The following is an 18,620-nucleotide window of genomic DNA, read 5'->3' as shown; positions in this document are numbered from 1 at the left end:
CCATTGAGTAGGGTGGGCCAAGGAGACTCACCCAGAAGGGAGAGGGTAGCAGGGCTCTCTGTAGTAGCCGCATGGTCAGCAGAAAGGAGGATGGCTTCGTGCAGAGACAGAAGACTCAAGAGCCAGCCTGCGGGGCACAGGGACTAGGAGACAGACTCAGTGGCGTAGAAGCCATTCCAAGCATCCATGCTCGGCCAGGAAGTGACATAGAGAGCCTTGGGCTGGGCGTCCAGAGGCCCCAGTCCCAGCCTCATCACTCACCCTGACTCCTGGTGTCACCTCCCAGAGGGCAGTGATCCTCCATGGCCCCCCTATGTTGAGTTCAGCCAGACCTGAGACCTGAGTTCAGGTTCACTTATTCTAATAGGGGATGACCTAGAAGAAGTCCAGCCCCTCAGAGAGCCTCAGCTTTTCCATCTTCACCTCTCAGGCCACTAGGAAGATGAGCCAAGGTTCAGATTATAAATGTACCAGGGGCCGCATGCGCTCTCACCTGGGAGTCCTATGCCACAGCCTCGCTGTGAGAGTCAGAACATCCTCAGAAGGTGGGTTGGAGGCTGTCCCTGCAGAGCAGGAGTTGGTAGAGCCTGTGCCTCAGAGAAGGGTAAGCGGGTGAGCAAGTGAGCAAATCGCCTGCCTGAGCTGGGCAGCCCTTTGGCCTCCAGGTGCCACTCTTAAGATCAGCAGCCGAATGCCAGCCACTATGCCACGGGTTTTTCATGTCCTAGCTCATCAAATCCCAACTATATGCTCATGACATAGGGGTCGTCCAGTTTTAATAAAGCCTGGGATTCCAAGGCTCAGACTGGTTTAAATAACTGCTGAATTGTCCAGCTGGTGTCTTCTCTCTTTCCAGCCCTGGCATCGGGTCTGAGCAAGGATAAAGGGGAAGGAAAATGAGAGAGGATGGGTTGCCCTCTGGGGCCTTCCATTTGTGTGAAAGCCCTACAGCGACACAGTCACTCCTGGAACGGAGCAGGAAGCAGACAGAGGCTGTGGGAGAATTGGGAGGTGGGATTGGATGGGGTTGGGGAGACTGTGGCCCAAGAGGCTCCAGTTCTTGCTGTGACAGTGGGACAAGGGACTAGAGAGGCGTGTGGTTTTCAGCTGAGCTGGGGTGAGTTTGGGACTCTATGGGGACACTCCTTTGTGAATGGCCTTTGTTTAGTAGTTAGGGGCATGGGCTCTGGAGCCAGGTCAACTGAGTTCAAATCCCAGCTTCCCCAGTTACCAACTGAGTGACTTTGGATAAGTCACTTTGCCTGTCCAATCCTCACTTTACCCATCTGAGGGTCCTTTAGAAGATCTCTGAGATCTTTCTCCATTCTAAACAATACCAAAAAATCAAACAAACCCCCTTTCCCTTCATCAACCCATCTTTTACTTAAGTATCCTGCTCATAAGGAGGATTGTGGGCAAGATGAGTAGCTAAGGACACAGGCTCCTAATGGGTGCTCGTAAGTATTAATCATTCTCATTTCCTGTCCACTGTGTCTTTGGCTACTCACAGTGGCTTAGTGGAGGGAGGGGAGAGATGCTTGTTTTCTGGATGAGGGAACTGAGGTTCAGAGAAGGAAACTGACTTGTCCAAGGTCGCACAGCAGGTGAGTAGCAAAGCAGGCTCGAATCCCAATCTGCCTGACATAATGCTGAGAAGATATCTTCTGAGGTGTGCTGGTCTTCCCTTCTCAGAGCCTCAGTTTCCTCATCTAAAGAGGAGCTGGTTTAGGCCAGGTGTGGTGGCTCACGCCTGTAATACCAGCACTTTGGGAGGCCAAGGCAGGCGGATCATTTGAGATCAGGAGTTTGAGACCAGCCTGGCTAACATGATGAAACCCTGTCTTTACTAAAAATACAATGATTAGCTGGGTGTGGTGGCGGGCGCCTGTAATTCCAGCTACTTGGGAGGCTGAGGCAGGAGAGTCGCTTGAACCCAGGAGGCAGAGGTTGCAGTGAGCCGAGATCATGCCACTGCACTCCAGCCTGGGTGTCAGAGTGAGACTCTGTCTCAACAACAACAACAACAACAAAAAGGAGCTGGTTTAGAAGACTTTAAGATGCTTCTCAGCTCAAAAAAGACAAAAAAATTAAAGAAAAATGAAAAATTCCTATCCTGCCCCTTTTGCCCCCCGCCCCATCTACAGCTCACCACCACCTCCCCAGGAGCTCAGTGAGGAGGTAGGGATATGGCCGCAATTTGGTGAGGGGCTCTCAGCATCCCTCCTCCAGTACCTGATCTCTTGCCTCTGGGACACACACCTGCCTAGCATCTTCAGAAGAGGCTTAGGGCTCCATTTATTTGTTGGGGTACAATGGAGATAGCCTTGGATTTCAGTCACACCCCTGACCCAGTTGTATCATGTGACCTTGGGTGAGTGGATTTTCTCTGTCCCCCGCCCATAGCCTCAGTTTCCCACTGGCACTGCAGTGGGGACCAGAGCTAGATAAACCCTTCCTGTAGCATATTTTGCAAGGCAGCCACAGGAGTTCTGGTCAAATAGATTGGGAAATGCTGGGTTTAGCAGATTTCTTGGCTGTGAGACTTATCAGAGCATGCTGAAGAGGTGGAGACAGACAGTGTAACCCAGGTGCGATGGCTCAAGCCTATAATCCTGGCACTTTGGGAGGCCAAGATGGGAGGATAGCTTGAGCTCAGGAGTTCGAGACCAGCCTGGGCAACATGGCAAAACTCTACAAAAAATACATTTTTTGTCTCTATAAAAAAATACAAAAAATAGCCAGGCATGTTGGTGGTGGTGCACACCTGTAGTCCCAGCTACTTAGGAAGCCGAAGTGGGAGGATCGCTTCAGCCCAGGAAAGACATCAAGGCTGCAGTGAGCCGTGATTGTGCCACTGCACCCCAGCCTGGGCGACAGAGCAGACCCTGTCTCAAAAAAAAAAAAAAAAAAAGAGAGCGAGAGAGAGTGACCTTTCCCAAACATATTACACATCAGAGACCATTTCTCATAAGGCATCTGCTTGGAAAATTCTGTACACAATCCCTCAGGGTCCTACCAGCTTTGACCTTATCTAACTTTGGCAGGAGAATGTGTCCTGAAAACACCTGGGTATTGGCAGTGCTTCATTCATTCACTTGTTCATTTCACAGGGCAGCCTCTGTGCCAGGCTCTGTGTTGGGGACCTTGGAGATACCCAGGTGAGCAGCCCTGGGCCTGTCCTTGGGGAGCTGCCAACATAGAGGGATGACCCTTTCCCACCTTTCTCCAGCCTCCCCCATGCCTGAGTCTTTGGCCTTAGCGTTTGGCCAGGTCTGCACAATCCCGAGGAATGAGGTGCTGGGCTGGCATCTGCCCTCTCTGAGCCTGCTTGAGGCCTGGTTCCCACAGGCCCATCCTTCCTCAGGCTCCGGCGTCACTGCGTCTTAATGAAGCCCAATTTTTCTGTTTCTAAGAAAGAATGAAGTAAAAGACTTGAGAAAGATTCTTGGATCTCAAGTGTCTCTTACAAAACAGCATGTTGATTAATGAAGTGTAAATGAATCAGAACCAGATGGGGACATTTTTTTGAAACATGCTGGGGTGTCCTGGCAATGGGACAGTAGGGCAGAGTGAGGGGGCCCTGGTTCGCATCCCTAGATCTGGAGGTCCATTTGGGCAAGGAGGAGATGCCAGCCTGTGACTGACTTTCCCTGACATCCAAGGCCTTCTGGGGAGGGACCCCCACATTCACATGGAGCTTCTGGATCTTTCTAGACCTGAGCAAGCAAGGGGCAAAGTGAAGAGCCCTGGGATCAAACCTTGAGCCCTCTCCTGCCCTAGATATGTGACATTAAGCAGGCCACATGCCTTCTCCCGTCCGTGCTTCCCCATCTGTGAAATGGGAAAACTTACACCTACCTCTCTGAGCAATTGGGAAGATTTACTGCAGTCCAAGAGGGAAGGGGGCCAAAGGCACACAGTAGGGGCTTCATAAGGATTTGACCACTTTCCCTTCCCATTTTACAGCAGAGCAGACATGCCCTGGACCGGAAGGGAGTGGGGTCTCACGTGGGTTAAGCTCACCTCTGCCTCTTGCTTGTGGTGCATCCGGAGCAAACCTTCTCCTCTCTCTGAGCTTGTTTTTCTTTATTGTAAATTGACTGTGGCAGTGCCCACTCCAGAGGCCTGTTATGTGGAGTGAATATGATGCTTCCGTTTAAATTGCAAAGCCCCTTGTGGAGGGCCAGGCAGACAGCACTGTCTCCTGTACACAGACAGATGCACCAGGCCCTGGGCAAGCAGGCGCCATCGCTGGGCACGAACAAAGTATGTCCCCTGAGTGCTGGCATCCAGGTGAAGCCAGGTTTAGATGCAGGGGTAGTTCTGAAAGGGATTCCTACAGGGCAGGGGTGGGTAATGACTGGACATTGAGGGCTGAGGGAATGGCGCTGAGTCTTAATAGAATGTAACCTTGGGTCTCTCGGCTTCGGTTTCTTCATAGCATAGGGGCTGGTTGAGAAATGGAAATCTGAATGCTTGGCAGATAGTAGGTGGTCAATCAATTGAGCTCCATTTGCCATCCTTCTTCCACTCAGCGTTCTGAAGCCAAGCCTGGGTGCAAAAGAGATGCTGCTTTTCCATCCCATTGCCCCACCACGGGGGGCCCCACCTCCCTCTCCTGTGGACGGAAACCATCCAACCCCCCTGCCCAGCCACTGAAGGAGATTCAGGCCACTGAGATTGAGGCCACTGAGGAAGGAGGGAGGCGGGCCATGTGCCAGGAGCTGTGCAGGTGGGGCTGCGCGTCCTCACTCTGCCACTGCCTTGTGTTATGCCTATTTCCCAGACACGGGAACTGAGGCTCAGAAAGCATCAATGGCCTGCCAAAGAGCTCACAGCTGCTGAGCCAGGACCTGGACCCAGAGTTTTGGAGGCTCCGAAGCCCGTGCAATAGATATAGAAATGAATCATGCCAGTGATTTGCCAGGGCTGCAAGGTGTAAGTGTCTGAGAGGAACCCCATCGGGGGGAGTAGGATTTAGGATTTTGTCAGGCAGAGGTGGCAGTAAGGTGAGGACCTCTGCAGGATGAGGAGAGAGTGTGGCCAGGTGGAGGGGACAAGGGACTGCGTGGCCGAAGGAAGTGAAGTTCTGATTGCAGATTGGGCCAGAGTCCCGTCATGGAGGGCCTTGGGTGCCACTCTCCAGTCACCATCACCATGAAGAAATACTTATTGGGTCCTTCCTGTGGGCCAGGCCCTGGGCTGGGTATTGAAAAGGACAGCAGAGATGGGTGTTCCTCCATTTCTGCCGCCACAGGACTATTTTTGTATGGCCTTCAAGCTAAGAATACTGGAATAGGCAACAGATCGTATGTGGTGCAAAAAGCCTAAAGTATTTACTATTGGGCTCTTGAGATCCGTCAATGAGAACATCATGGACAAGACCTCTGAGGCTGCACCTCAACACACCCTTGAGAGCAGGCTGGTGGTGGTGGTCTCAGCCTCAGCCGAGGAATCCAAGACAAAGAGGGGAGGTTGCTTGGCTAAGGTGTCACATGGATACGGTTTGTTCATCCATCCTCCCATCTGGTGAAAAAACTGAAGCTCCCATTAGTTTAAAGTTTTCCAAGCTGAGGTTTACAATGCATCAGCAGGTGAGGACAATAAATTTAGCAATAGCCAGCATTTTCTAATGAAATGGAATGGAATGGTAACGGAATGGAATGGAACGGAACAGAACGGAATGGAATAGCACTGACTAAAATAGAGTGGGGTCAGCAAACATTTTTTGCGAAGGGTCAGATAGTAAATACTTTAGGCCTTGCAAACCACATACAATCTGTCATGTACTCCACTCTTCTTAGCTCACAGGCAACACAAAAACATCCAAATTTGGTCCAGAGGCTGCGATTTTTGCCAACCTCCTTTTTAGAATATATCAGAGTGCATTGCAAGTGTGAAAACTATTATTTTGAGAAATGTGTTTCAGTTTACACATATATGTGAATGGGTGTATGAGTGGGTGAGTGTGCATGCACATATATGTGGATGTATGTGAGTGTGTGCATGCATGTGCACGTGTGTACTACTGTGTCTACTGATACCATTGTCAAAATAGTGTGGAGGCTGCTGGACCAGCTGAGCCCATCTTCTGTGCTCAGCCCCTTTCAGTCATGGCCTAATGGAGGCCCTCCTGACAGCTGTAAGGGGCAGATTCCAGGAGGATCTTTATATTATAGATGAGGAGACTGAGGCCCAGTGGGTGGTATAGCAACAGACAGGGGTGCTGGGATGTAAGCCCAGAGAGTCTGTCTCTGGAGCTCCAAACAATTGCCTTAGTTCAGATGCTTGTTTCTAATCGCCCTGAATCTGACAGCTACATCATTCCCCAGGTGTGTGGATTTTAGCTCCTGGAAGGTGGAATGATGTGTCGGGGCCCTAAATCTCCTCCTGCATCAAACACCTCTGCTCGGCCAGGGCGTGGCAGACATTGCACGCTCCTTTCCTTTGGTCCTCACCCCAGTCCTGCCTGGTGGATATGCCTCTACCGCCAGCTTACAGAAGAGGGAAGTTGGTTCAGAGAGGGGAACTGGCTTATCCAAAGTAACGTCGCAAATACATGTGTGAGCTGGGTCTTCTTAATTCCAAAACCCACAGCAAATCCTGCCTACGGTAGACTTCTGAAAACCCATCTAATGCTGCCATTAACCACCTTCTTGTTTGTGTAGCACTTTATAGTTTGCAGAGCAATTCAGCTTTCATTTTCTCTCTGAAATTCTGGAGAAGGGTTCTAGAATAATGAAGTGATAAGGCCAAAAAGGCCAAGTGAGACCTTTGAGACCAATCCTTGTAAAATTGGAGACTCAAGCAGGGAAGTACCTTACTCAAGGTCACCCAGCTGTGAGTAGAAGTGAGGGTTCAGGAGACTAGCGGTGAAGGCAAAACTTGAATTGGTAGAGGAAGGCAGCCTGCTCCAGAGCCTGATAGGTTGAGAGCCTCTCAGAGCCTCAGTTTCCCCCCGCGTGACTTGGAAATGCTCAGTGTGCTTTGCCTTTTTTCCCAGGGCTGGGACAAATGTCAGAAGACAGGATGGAGCCAGGCGCAGTGGCTCACGCCTGTAATCCCAGCACTTTGGAAGGCTGAGGCAGGCAGATCACCTGAGGCCAGGAGTTCGAGACCAGCCTGGCCAACATGGTGAAACCCCATCTCTACTAAAAATACAAAAATTAGCTGGGTGTGTTAGTGCACACCTGTAATCCCAACTACCAACTACTCAGGAGGCTGAGGCATGAGAATCACTTGAACCTGGAAAGCAAAGGTTGCAGTGAGCTGAGATTGCACTGCTGCACTCTAGCCTGGGTGACAGAACAAGACTTCGTCTAAAAAAAAATTAAGACAGGATGGAAGCTGGAGGGCTTTCGCACATCCAAGGCTGTCTGCAGGAATTTCTTAATAATCAGAGGCCAGCCCAGGGCTGGGTGCCTCTTAAGGGCCTCTAGAGTTACCTAGGCAAGTGGAGCCTCTCCATAGGGTCTGAGGTTTGGCTGTGTGATTTTGTGAAAGAGACCAAGCCACGGGGCCATCATGGCCTCAAGGCTAGTCCTGTCCTCAGAGTCTTGGGCTATAGGCACCATCAGGACATAGAACAGCCCTGGGGGTGGACCCTGGGGAGCACACTCCTCACCTACATCTCTACACACATGTATGTTCCCCAAAACATATTTTTTCTTTAAAAATACTTAACTTTCATTGGCATCAAAGGTTTACAAAAGTCACTTTGGATTTTGTTTCGTGGTTGAGCATTTATGTGAGTAGACATGAGGGTGCAGGAGATGCCAGATGTTACCTGCATTCTTTTATGTAACAATTTCAGACACTGTTCTATGTACTTTGTATGTATTAATTGATTAAATTACCTTAATAAACCTGTGCAGTGGGCAGTAGCATTCCTATTTTACAGACAAGAAAACTGAGGCACAGGAAGGTTAAGTAACTTTGCCCAAGGCCACTCAGCCAAGGTTCAAATCCTTCCTTGCCCCAGAGCCCAGCTCTAACTACTGAACTTAATTGCCTCCCAGCCTTATTTCATCCTCACAGCACCCCTCTGAGGGGCCTGTTATTACCCACATTTTACAGAGGAGGAAGCAGTTAAAAGAGAGGCACATTCATTGAAGTATATGCAGTTGCCATTTTTCTAGGTCATAAACAGCCAAATATTAGCAATTTCATGTTTCTACCCCACAGCTTGGCAGAGTAAGTTTGGCAAAAACCAGGATTCCATCCAGACAATTGATTCCAAAGCCTGAGTCCATAACCACCATGCCAGCCCTCCTCCCAGGCTACCCACATTATAGCCCCATGAAGTGGCTTGACCCTATTATTCTCCCTCTTCTACAGATGAGGCCTTCCACATTCAGGGAGGGGAATCAACTTGCCAAGGACACACAGCCAGGCTGGGGAAAGGTCGTGATGTGCTCCCAGGTCTCTGTGGGCTGGAGCTTTTTTTCCTAGCCCGGTGGAACAGCAGCATCCAGGACACATTTGCCCTCAGCCCCGCCCTCGGAGATTCTTCCAGATCCCTTCGGGAATGGTCTGCTTCCCATCTCCGGATGGGTGACGCCAACTCCACCCGGACACTGCTGTCCCATGCTGGGCCGCCACTGCCTGCCCTGGAATGATTTCTTGCAGTAATGCAGCATGATTCATAGGGCCCTTGCTCTGTGGCCCATAGTGGGGGCTCTGATGTGCCATTGCGGAGGGGGTGGGAAATTCTGTTTCACCAGCTCAAAACAGAGGCATTCCCAAGCCCAGAGGACCCAGGCCACATGGGGAAACCACTCCCTTTCACTGGAAGCCTCCACTTTCCCTGGAGCCCGATGGCAGAGCCCACATCCGCCAGGGTGGAGACATGAAGAGAAGGAATGTCACAGTTGCCCTTCTGAGCCTGATCTGGGGTTGGCCAGTGGGCACAGCTGTCTCTAGCAAGTCCCGGATGAGCACTGGGGGCTTGGCAGGCTGTCACGAAGGCTGTGGGCTCTGCCACTTACTGGCTGAGTGACCTTGGGCAGGTCATCTCTCCCTTCTGTGCCCCCGTTGGCTAATTTGCAAAATGAGGCATGAAACATAGACAAACGCATTGCTGGTACATAGGGAGTGCTCATCAATGACGGTTAAAAGGGCCTGGTGCCACGCAGGGAGTGTGAGATTTGGGCTGTGGACAGTCCTGGGCTCAGCTCCCAGTTCTGTTACTGCCATGCTTGGGTGACAGTATTTGACTCCTGAATCTCGATGTTGTCTGTCAATACAATGGGGACAATAAGAGCATCTACCTCATATGGTTTTCAAGATGACTATGCATGTGACGCCCCTGGAAGACAGTCAGTGTTTCTTTAATGGTGATAACTGTCATGCGTCATGGGGGGAGAGGTTGGGCTCTTCCTAGTGTACAGAACGTTCGAGCCTGATGTCAGAGATGGCCCTGCCTCTGTTTGAAAGTGCTCAGCAGACCTAACTCATCCAAAGAAGGTCATTTTGAGCATGCCAGATTCAGAGGATAGGGTGGTCCTAAGTGCTGTGTGACTGTGGCACAGTGACCCACCCTCTCTGAGTCTCTGTTCACTCCTCTATGAAAGTGGACCTCAGAGCCTGGGCAACAAGAGCGAAACTCCGTCTCAAAAAAAAAAAAAAAAAAAAGAAAGTGGACCTCAGAGGACAGCAGTGAGGATGGGGCAGTGAGGATGGGATGATGTAACATGCATCCGTGTGCGTGTGCGTATGTTGCCAGCACATTACAAATGCATAAATGATGTGATGGCTATTTTGGGGGGAAGCCATGATGGGGCCTGACTTCCTGCCCTCTGCCCACAGCGGGCTGGAAAAACCGAATCAGATGCTGCCTGCGGGCATGCTTTTACTTCCTCGTCCCCTCTCACTCCCTACACCACCCCCGTCATTCACTTCCCCCGCCTCCCTGCAGGCATTTGAGCCAATCGGACTCCTTAATTCACAGCACATCATCAGCATCCATCTAGCAAGACCTTGCTCTCCTTTGATGTTTCTATTAGTTTTTCTTTATTCTTTAGATTGTTAAAAATAGCTGATTTTTTATTTTACTCGTAAAAATTCTTTCATGTATTCTTACATTTTTAAATTTTATTTCACTTAAACATTTTACTTTTATTTTTAACATTTTTGTTTTTATTAATTTTAATGTATTTAAATTATTTTACAAATGTATTTTTTATTTGAATGGATTTTTACACTTTATTTTTATACCTTATTTTTAAATTTTTATTTTGTTACTTAATTTCGTTTTTGAATGTTATTTTAACTGTTTAAATTTGTTTTAATCATGTAATTCTTATTCACCTGATTTTTAATTTTAAATTTTATTTTTTCACTTTTTAAACATTTTATTTTTATTTTTCCCACTTTTAAAATTGGAATTCCTGAATTTTTCTTGTCAATTTGTAGGGCTTCCTTGTATTACCTAGATATCAATCCCATGTTCATTTTGACACAAAAAAAATCTTTTTTAATCTGACTTTGTAGAGTCCTCACCTTTGGAGAGTAGAAATCATTGCTTACCATGCTGTCAGTGTGGTCAAATCCATTGGTTTTTGAGTGGGGAGAGGGGGCTTGTTCTGCCTTATGGTCTGGGTTTTCTGATCTTATTAAAAAGTCTGTATGAGAAGGTCTTACAAGAAGTCACCCCAGAGCCAGGTGCATTGACTCTCGCCTGAAATCCCAGCTACTCACGGGGCTGAGGTGGGAGGATGGCTTGAGCCCAGGAGTTCGAGGCCAGCCCGGGCAATGTGGTGAGACCCCTTCTTTTAAAATAAACAAGCAAAGTCACACTCCAGAGTGTGAGCTTGGATCTGCTACTCCTCAACATTGGACCACCCTTCCCGCGAGGGATTCTTCCAAGTGTTAGTGCTGCTGCAGCAGCCCTCGGGCCTTCCTGAGGACGCTAGTGGGACGCTCAGTTGCGACAATGCTCCTCTGTCCACGCCCCTTCCTGACTGTGCCCTAGGATCACAGCCTGCAGTTGGCACGCATCTGCGGAGCATGTGCTGCTAGCCAGACCCTGTCCTTGGGGTCCCCTTTCCCCTACTCTGATGGAGGTAGTAAGCTCAACAGCAGTGAATTTTCCTCTAAGAGAGACATCAGCTGGAGACTCCCTGCCCCTGGAGGCGAGTGACATTGGCTTGAACAACACCCCACAGGGGCTCAAAATCCCCCACAAGGAGAATCCTCAGCCAACAGCTTACACTTCCCGCTCGCCCCTGGCTGAGGGCTGCTTTGGCTGAACCAGTTCAGTTTGTGGATCATCTCATTCTCTTGCATCAACAACTCCCCACCCCAGGAAGAGAGAGAGGGAAAGAGAGAGAGAGACTGAGAAAGAAAGAAGAAAGAAAAAGAAAGGAAGGAAGGAGGGAGGGAGGGAGGAAGGAAAGAAGGAGGGAAGGAAGGAAAGAAGGAAGGAAGGAAGGAAAAAGAAAAGAGAAAGAGAAAGAATGAAGGAAAACATACACTTGGGATGTTTGTGTGCAAAGCCAGCTTTTTTGACTGTCTGGAGGTTGCTACTAAGGGCTCCATCCCTGCAATGCAAACAGTTCCAGACTAAAGGCACTTGGAGTAGCCTTCCCCTCCTGCCTTCACTTGGCTGATATAACTCCTGTCTGCCCCCACAAACAGTTTAGGGTCCATCCCTGGTGTGCCTCGGGACCTGAGAGACGTATGACTTTAAATAGCATTTGTCGGCCTTTGGAAGCCCAGCTGGCAGGGGTTGGCAGGGAGGGGTGACGGACCACAAGGCAGGCTCCTCTCCAGTAGTTAGGAGCTGGGCTCAGTTTTGCATTCCTCCTGGCTCCTCCTGTGAATGCTTGGGCCAAGCCCTTTACCTCTCCGAGCCTCAGTTTTCTCATCCCTGCCAATGGAGTAAGTGTAGCCCCCACCTTGTGGGGTTATGGCAAGTTTTAATGATTTAGTACAAGGACCTGGGTGGCACAGGTCCTGGCACACTGTGAACACTCAGCCAGCATTAGCCTAGTTCTGTTTTTTGCAGTTCTGGTCCCTTTGAAAATCGGCCAGAGCTCCCAGAGGCCCGCGTCTCCAGCTGGGGGTGGGGTAGGACAGCCTGTAGCTGCTTATCTTGGTTCCAGCCCAGAATCCAGGTTATAACTGGGTAAGAAGGGTTATGGTTTCCACTTCGCGGATGAGGAAACTGAGGCCCACTAACAGTGAGTGCAGAATTTCCATGCCTGTGCAGGCCCAGGTCCCTCTAGCTGCCTGGATTTGGGTTTGGTGGAGATAGTGCCCCCAGGGCCAGGAGAGGTTTCCAAGGTGGAGCCCCCAACTCCCTGTGTTCCTGCCACCCCCACCATGCACTGGGTCTCTTTCCCCTTTTCTCATTCAACTCCTCCCTACTGGCATCCTACCATTTATTGAGCACCTACAATGCACCAGAGGCTTTGTATGCATTGCCCACAACCTTAGGATCCTCCTACCTGGTGAGTGTTTGCCATATGAGCTGGGCACACAGCCAGGTGCTCCGCAGGTTATTACCTCACTTTACCCTGCAAGCAATTCTTTAATATCATCATTCCTATTTTGCAGAAGAGGTGCAGAGACTCAGAGAGGTCAAAGGGCCTTCCTAGGGTCAAGGTGGCAGAGCTGGGACTCAAACCTGGGTTCCCTGCTGCCTGGTGCTGCCTCCCATCTCTCTACTTCCAGGGGCTGGGCAGTTAGTCTGGGAGCCTGGACTGGGTGGAATGTCACGGTTGTGAGAATAGGTGACTCTACTACCTATTCTCAACTTGGAAAACGACTTAGGGAGCCACCCAGATACTGCCTTGGGTTTCACACCAGCTTGGGAGATGGGGGCCGGAGGGTATGCAGTCTGCTTAAAATAGCAACTAGAGGAACTCAGAACAAGTACTTCATCCCAGCAGCTGCAAAAGTCAAGAGGCAACAAGAGGTCAAGGAATCACATTTTGAACCAATGACCAGGAGAGGCAGAAGCGATTTGGGGCATTTATGGAGGAGGCTGTGGGGTAGACACAGTCATGGGATTCTAGGTCTAGGCCTCTTAAAAGCTGAGATCTGGCTGGGCGCAGTGGCTCTCGCCTGTTATCCCAGCACTTTGGGAGGCTGAGTCGGGTGGATCACTTGAGGTCAGGAGTTCAAGACCAGCCTGACTAACATGGTGAAACCCCATCTCTACTAAAATTACAAAAATTAGCCAGGCATGGTGGTGGGTGCCTGTAATCCCAGCTACTAGGGAAGCTGAGGCAGGAGAATTGCTTGAACCTGGGAGGCAGAGGTTGCACTGAGTCGAGATCACACCACTGCACTCCAGCCTGAGTGACAGAGCAAGACTGTGTCTCAAAAATAAATAAATACATAAATAAAACAGCTAAGATCTGTCTAGCATGTGCTATGTGCTGCACTGTGGACTGAGTCACTTACCCTTTAATCTTCATGATAACCCATGAGCAGAGCTTGTCTGTCCACCCTCCCTGGATCCACCCACTTCTCATAGCTGCCAGCCTCGTCCAGGCCACCAGAATGACCACAGCCCATACACCCTGAGCTCCCAGCTTCTACTCCTGCCCCACAGTCCATTCCCCTCAGCACCAGAGAAGCTTTCAAGGTGGCAGACACTCCTCGGCTTGCAACCCACAGTGGCTTCCCAACTCACTTCCAGGAAAATCCAGCACCATCCAAACTCATCCATGTGTCCTGGGGGTCTGGCCCCTCTGCCTCCAGACCTCACCACCCACCACTCTCCCCTCAGTCACTGCACTCTGGCCTTGCTGCTCTCTTCCACACCACGTTCTTTGCCGCTTCTGGGCTTTTGTACCCACTGGTCCCTCCGCCAAGAGTGCTTTCTTGTGTATCTCAGAGATGCCCTTCCAGGCAGCCCAGGCCCTCCCTCCTGCCACTCTGTGTACCCAAATTCAATTCCCTGTCGTTCTCTGAAATGATCTCCCTCTCCCACTTAGGATGTAAACTTCATGAGGGGAAGGTCTGTCTCATTCACTGATGTATCTGCAGTGCCTTGAAAAGTGCCTGGCACATAGTAGGCCCTCAATAAATATCTGTGGAAGGAACAAGCTTTTCAGTGGGTGGGTGATTGTGTCCATTTTAATCTTGTTTGTTTTTGAGACAGGGTCTCTCTCTGTCACCCAGACTGGAGGGCAATAGCACGATCTTAGCTCATTGCAGCCTTGACCTCTTGGGCTCAAGCAGTCCTCCCACCTCAGCCTCCTGAGTAGCTGGGACTATAGGCACGCATCACCATGCCTGGCTAATTTTTTTTTTTTATTTTCATAGAGATAAGGGTCTCACTATGTTGCCCAGGCTGGTCTCAAATTCCTGGCCTTAAGTAATCCTCCCACCTCAGCCTCCCAAAGTGCTGGGATTACAGGTGTGAGCCACCGCACCTGGACAGTGTTCCTTTTACAAATGAGCAAACTGAGGTTAAGTAACTGTCCCAGGGAGTAAAGGTGGGGCTGGGATTTGAGAACAGGTTTGTCTCATCCCAAACCTTGGAGTCCTACCTCTACCCTCTAAGGCTGCTGCCCAGCAGGACTAATTGAAAGCTTCCTGTCTAGGAAGGACAGGGTAATCATAAGAGATGTGTCATTTGGAATAGCAGTGCCCCAACCATCCTCAGGCCCAGAGCAGGGTGCAGCAATGGATGTAGCAGACCTGGGCTACCCAGACAGGGGCCAGGGGCCAGGCTGTGCACTAGCCCAGACAGAGAGGACCAGCTGGCTGGAGATAAAGAATCAAAGGTGCCCATCCAGAGGTCTGAGTTCTAGCTCCTCCCCTCCCATGACTCACTGTGTGGCTTCTAACAAGTGCCTACCCCTCTCTCAACTCAGGACACTTCCTGTAAAATGCTGTTACTACCTCAGGCTACAGATAATAGACTCTGCCTAATTGCCTTCTCAAAAGAGGGTGCCGGAGTCTTTTACAGTTTCCGTATCTTGTAGGTCATGGTGGTATTTCATTCTTGTTCTCATCTTCAATTTGAAAATTCTTAGGGAAGTAGAACAGCTTTGCGTATGGTTATTGTCCTATTTGTCTTTCTTTTTTAAATTCCTTGTAATGTCTTTGCCCATTCTCCCTCCACACACTTGGATCATTCCCCTTTTTCTTATTGATTTATAGGAGCTCGTTGTGTATTAAGGATATTCTTGGCTTACTTTGTGTGTAACTGGCTTAATGATGATACTGAAGTTGTAACAGAGGGTTACAAACATGGCATGCTTTCCATGCACCCCCCACCCCCCACCCCCAATGCACAGTCGTATTTTTAAACTCCAATCCTTAATAACTTTGGGCAGATCTCAAAGCTTTCTGGTAACTTTCAGCTATTAAAAAGCCTAGTCCAGTGCTGAATTTTTAAAATACAGGTCTGATTTGAAGCTCTCCTTTCCCATCACTGCTTCCCCATCACTGCCTGACTCAGCTTCTGACTCCACTGATTTGCCCTGTAGGGAGATATGTCATGCTGTCTCATTCTCTTCTCTCCTCCCTCTGGGTTGATTTCTCCCCTGTATGTTGGGGAGCAGAAGAAGGAATGGGGATAGAGACAGCTGTCACTACCCTGATGCTGCTGTGGCCTCCACAATTCCCGGTGTTAGAAAACTCTGGGGCCATCACCAGTGAGCAGCAGGGAGGGACTGGGACTAAATGTTCCTCTGCCTCCATCCATGCCCTCCCCTTTCTCCCACGTGTGGCAGGTGCCTAATTGGTACACAGGTGTGATTACTGAGCAAGGAGCACGAGCTTGACCTCTTCAGATCACCCTAGCTTCCTCACTACCCCATCCCCACTTCAACAGCCTCATGCCCCTTTGGGCTGGAAAACCATGGCTTAGATTAAGCTCAAGAGCCTCCTTCAATGTCCACTTGACCAAATATAGGAAATTGACAGGAAATTGGTCAAATGGTGGCAATGCAGGCTGCCTCTGCCAGACCCCACCCCTTTTGCATTTCTCATTCATTCTCCACTCACTCCCAATGGACACAGGGCAGATCAACAAGAGTGAGTTCAATCAAGGGATGGAATGCCTGTTTCCCTCTGGTTCATAGCTTCTCCCCTCCAAACCATGAGCCCACCTGGGCTTGGGAGTTGGGGGCATGCCGTGCCCTACCCTGCCCCAGTCACTGCTGGCCAATCCTCCTTAGATCCTCTTTAGAAACTGGCTTATATGGGCTGGGGAGGCAGTGGGGCAGGTCAGGGATGGGGGTGACAAAGATAGTTGGCCCCCTCTCAATAAGTCCTAGAGAGGATGTCTGACTCCAATCTCAGACTCGGAGGCAGCTCTCTTTAGAACAGCAAAATATGTCCTATTCATTCTTACATCCAATAAACATTTTACAGAGCACCTAGTAGACATGTGGCCCCATGCATGGCATTGGAGAGTCACTGGTGAACAAAAGTCCTGGGGAAATTTACATTTCCAATCCAGTATGATTTTGTATGTCTTTCTAAAATGTTTCTACAGGTCTGTGATTTGTCTTTTAACTTTAATAAATAAAGGATCCTGGCACATAGATGATATTCAAGAAATATCTGCTGAATGGATGGATGGACGGATAGATGGTTGGGTGGATGATGGGTGGGTGGGTGGATAGATGGATGGATGGATGGATAGATGAGTGGGTGGGTGGATGGATGGATAGATGGGTGGGTGAGTGGATGGATATATGGGTGGGTGGATGGATGGATGGATGGATGGGGATGGATAGATGGGTGGGCAGATGGGTAGGTGGGTGGGTGGATGGATGGATGGATGGATGGATAGATGAGTGGGTGGGTGGATGGATGGATGGATAGATGGGTGGGTGAGTGGATGGATAGATGGGTTGGTGGATGGATAGATGGGTGGGTGATTGGATGGATAGATGGGTTGGTGGATGGATGGATGGGTGGATGGATGGATGGATAGATGGGTGGGTGAGTGGATGGATAGATGGGTGGGTGGGTGGATGGATGGATGGATGGATGGATGGATGGGGATGGATGGATGGATGGATGGGGATGGATAGATGGGTGGGCAGATGGGTAGGTGGGTGGGTGGATGGATGGATGGATGGGTGAACAGTGGGCCTTTAGAAACACTGAGTTTAACCATCCATTTGACAGATGGAGAAACTGAAGCCCAGAGACAGGGAGACACTTGCCTGAGGACACACAGAACTGGACAAGAGTCCACATCTGGGGCTCTCTCCCTTGTACTACTAGGATTTGAGTGTTGAAGAAGGCCCATGGGGAGAGACCAGACCCAGAATAGGGTCCTTGAAGATGCTCACTTTGTGCCAGGTGTGATTACTGGGCAAGGAGCATGGAGCATTGGGCTGGAGGCCCAAACTGCATTCCCAACTCTCTGCCACCCCTTGGAAGCTCCAGGTACCCAGGGTGCTGGCTGAGAAGAACTGGGGCTTTCCCAGGAACACTGGCAGGGACACACTGACCAAGGACCTGCCTCAGTCAGCGCTGACTTTTAGACCTGGCCCCCTTTCCTGATGCTCACTGGCAGTGGGGCCCCAAGTCTTCTCAGCACTGGGAGCTGATTATATTTCTCAGCTTTCTTTTTTTCTGAGACAGAGTCTCACTCTGTCGCCCAGGGTGGAGTGTAGTGGCATGATCTCGGCTCACTGCAACCTCTGCTGCCCAGGTTCAAGTGATTCTCCTGCCTCAGCCTCCCAAGTAGCTGGGATTACAGGTGCGCACCACCACACCTGGTGCAGGTGTTTTGTGTTTTTAGTAGAGACGGGGTTTCACCGTCTTGGTCAGGCTGGTCTTGAACTCCTGACCTCATGATCCACCCGCCTCAGCCTCCCAAAGTGCTGGGATTACAGGTGTGAACCACCGTGCCTGGCCTATTTCTAAGCTTTCTTAGAGCTTAATTATGTAAGGTGAGGAGGGTATTTATTTTGGACCTATTCTGGGGCCTAGACTCTCCCCAGTACTTAAAATAATAATAACTATCTGTTACTAAGACTGCCTGGCTTTGAGTTTGCCACTCACCAGCTATGGGATCTGGGCAACTTACTTACCTTCTCTGTGCCTTAGCTTCCTTGTCCGCAAGACCAGATAATACTACCCATCTTGCAGGATTGTTGAGGCAGTCTGGCCTGTGAAAGAAGAGATCCACAACTGCTAGCAGCTCCCACATTGCTGTGCACCCCATGTCAGCCAAACCCTGTTTTGGCATGCCACACACAAAACCAGCTTACCACACTGTCACAACATGTGAGCATAGTCGTTATCCCCATTTACAGACGGGAAAACCAATGCTCAGAGAAGCTAGTGTGGGAATGAACCCAGGCTCCAGAGTCCCACAAAATTATATCACCTGCCTTGCAGCCATTAGCACTGTGGAACTCTGGGGTTCAAAGGTTCCTTAGGGGGTATCCAAGCTCTCAGAGGCTGCCTCTAGAAGTAGGCAAAGGAAACCAAAAAGACAGCTCAAGATGCTCACCCTCACCCCCATCCTGGCCTCAGCCAAAGCAGCTCAACTCATTCATTTTAGGAATCGATCTCTCATGTCACATTTCATCTTGCAAAAAGGAAGGCTCCCTTGGCTAAGAAAAAGTTCAAAAGTTCTTTATCAAGACCAAGGCTCTGCTTTTCCGATAGGAAACTGCATTCCCAACTCT

General features: G+C 49.8%; 1 protein-coding gene across 3 annotated transcripts in view; it reads left to right on the top strand.

The window, feature by feature from the left end:
• RSPO4 (R-spondin 4) overlaps positions 1–18,620 on the top strand; it is a 43,860-nt gene that overhangs the window by 415 nt on the left and 24,825 nt on the right. The gene's annotated exons all lie outside the window — the stretch shown is intronic.

The sequence above is a fragment of the Homo sapiens genome, chromosome 20, assembly GCF_000001405.40.
Source record: "Homo sapiens chromosome 20, GRCh38.p14 Primary Assembly".
In the NCBI taxonomy this organism is placed as follows: domain Eukaryota; kingdom Metazoa; phylum Chordata; class Mammalia; order Primates; family Hominidae; genus Homo; species Homo sapiens.
Note: the sequence above shows the minus strand (reverse complement) of the source record. Positions and strands in the feature narration are given on the sequence as shown.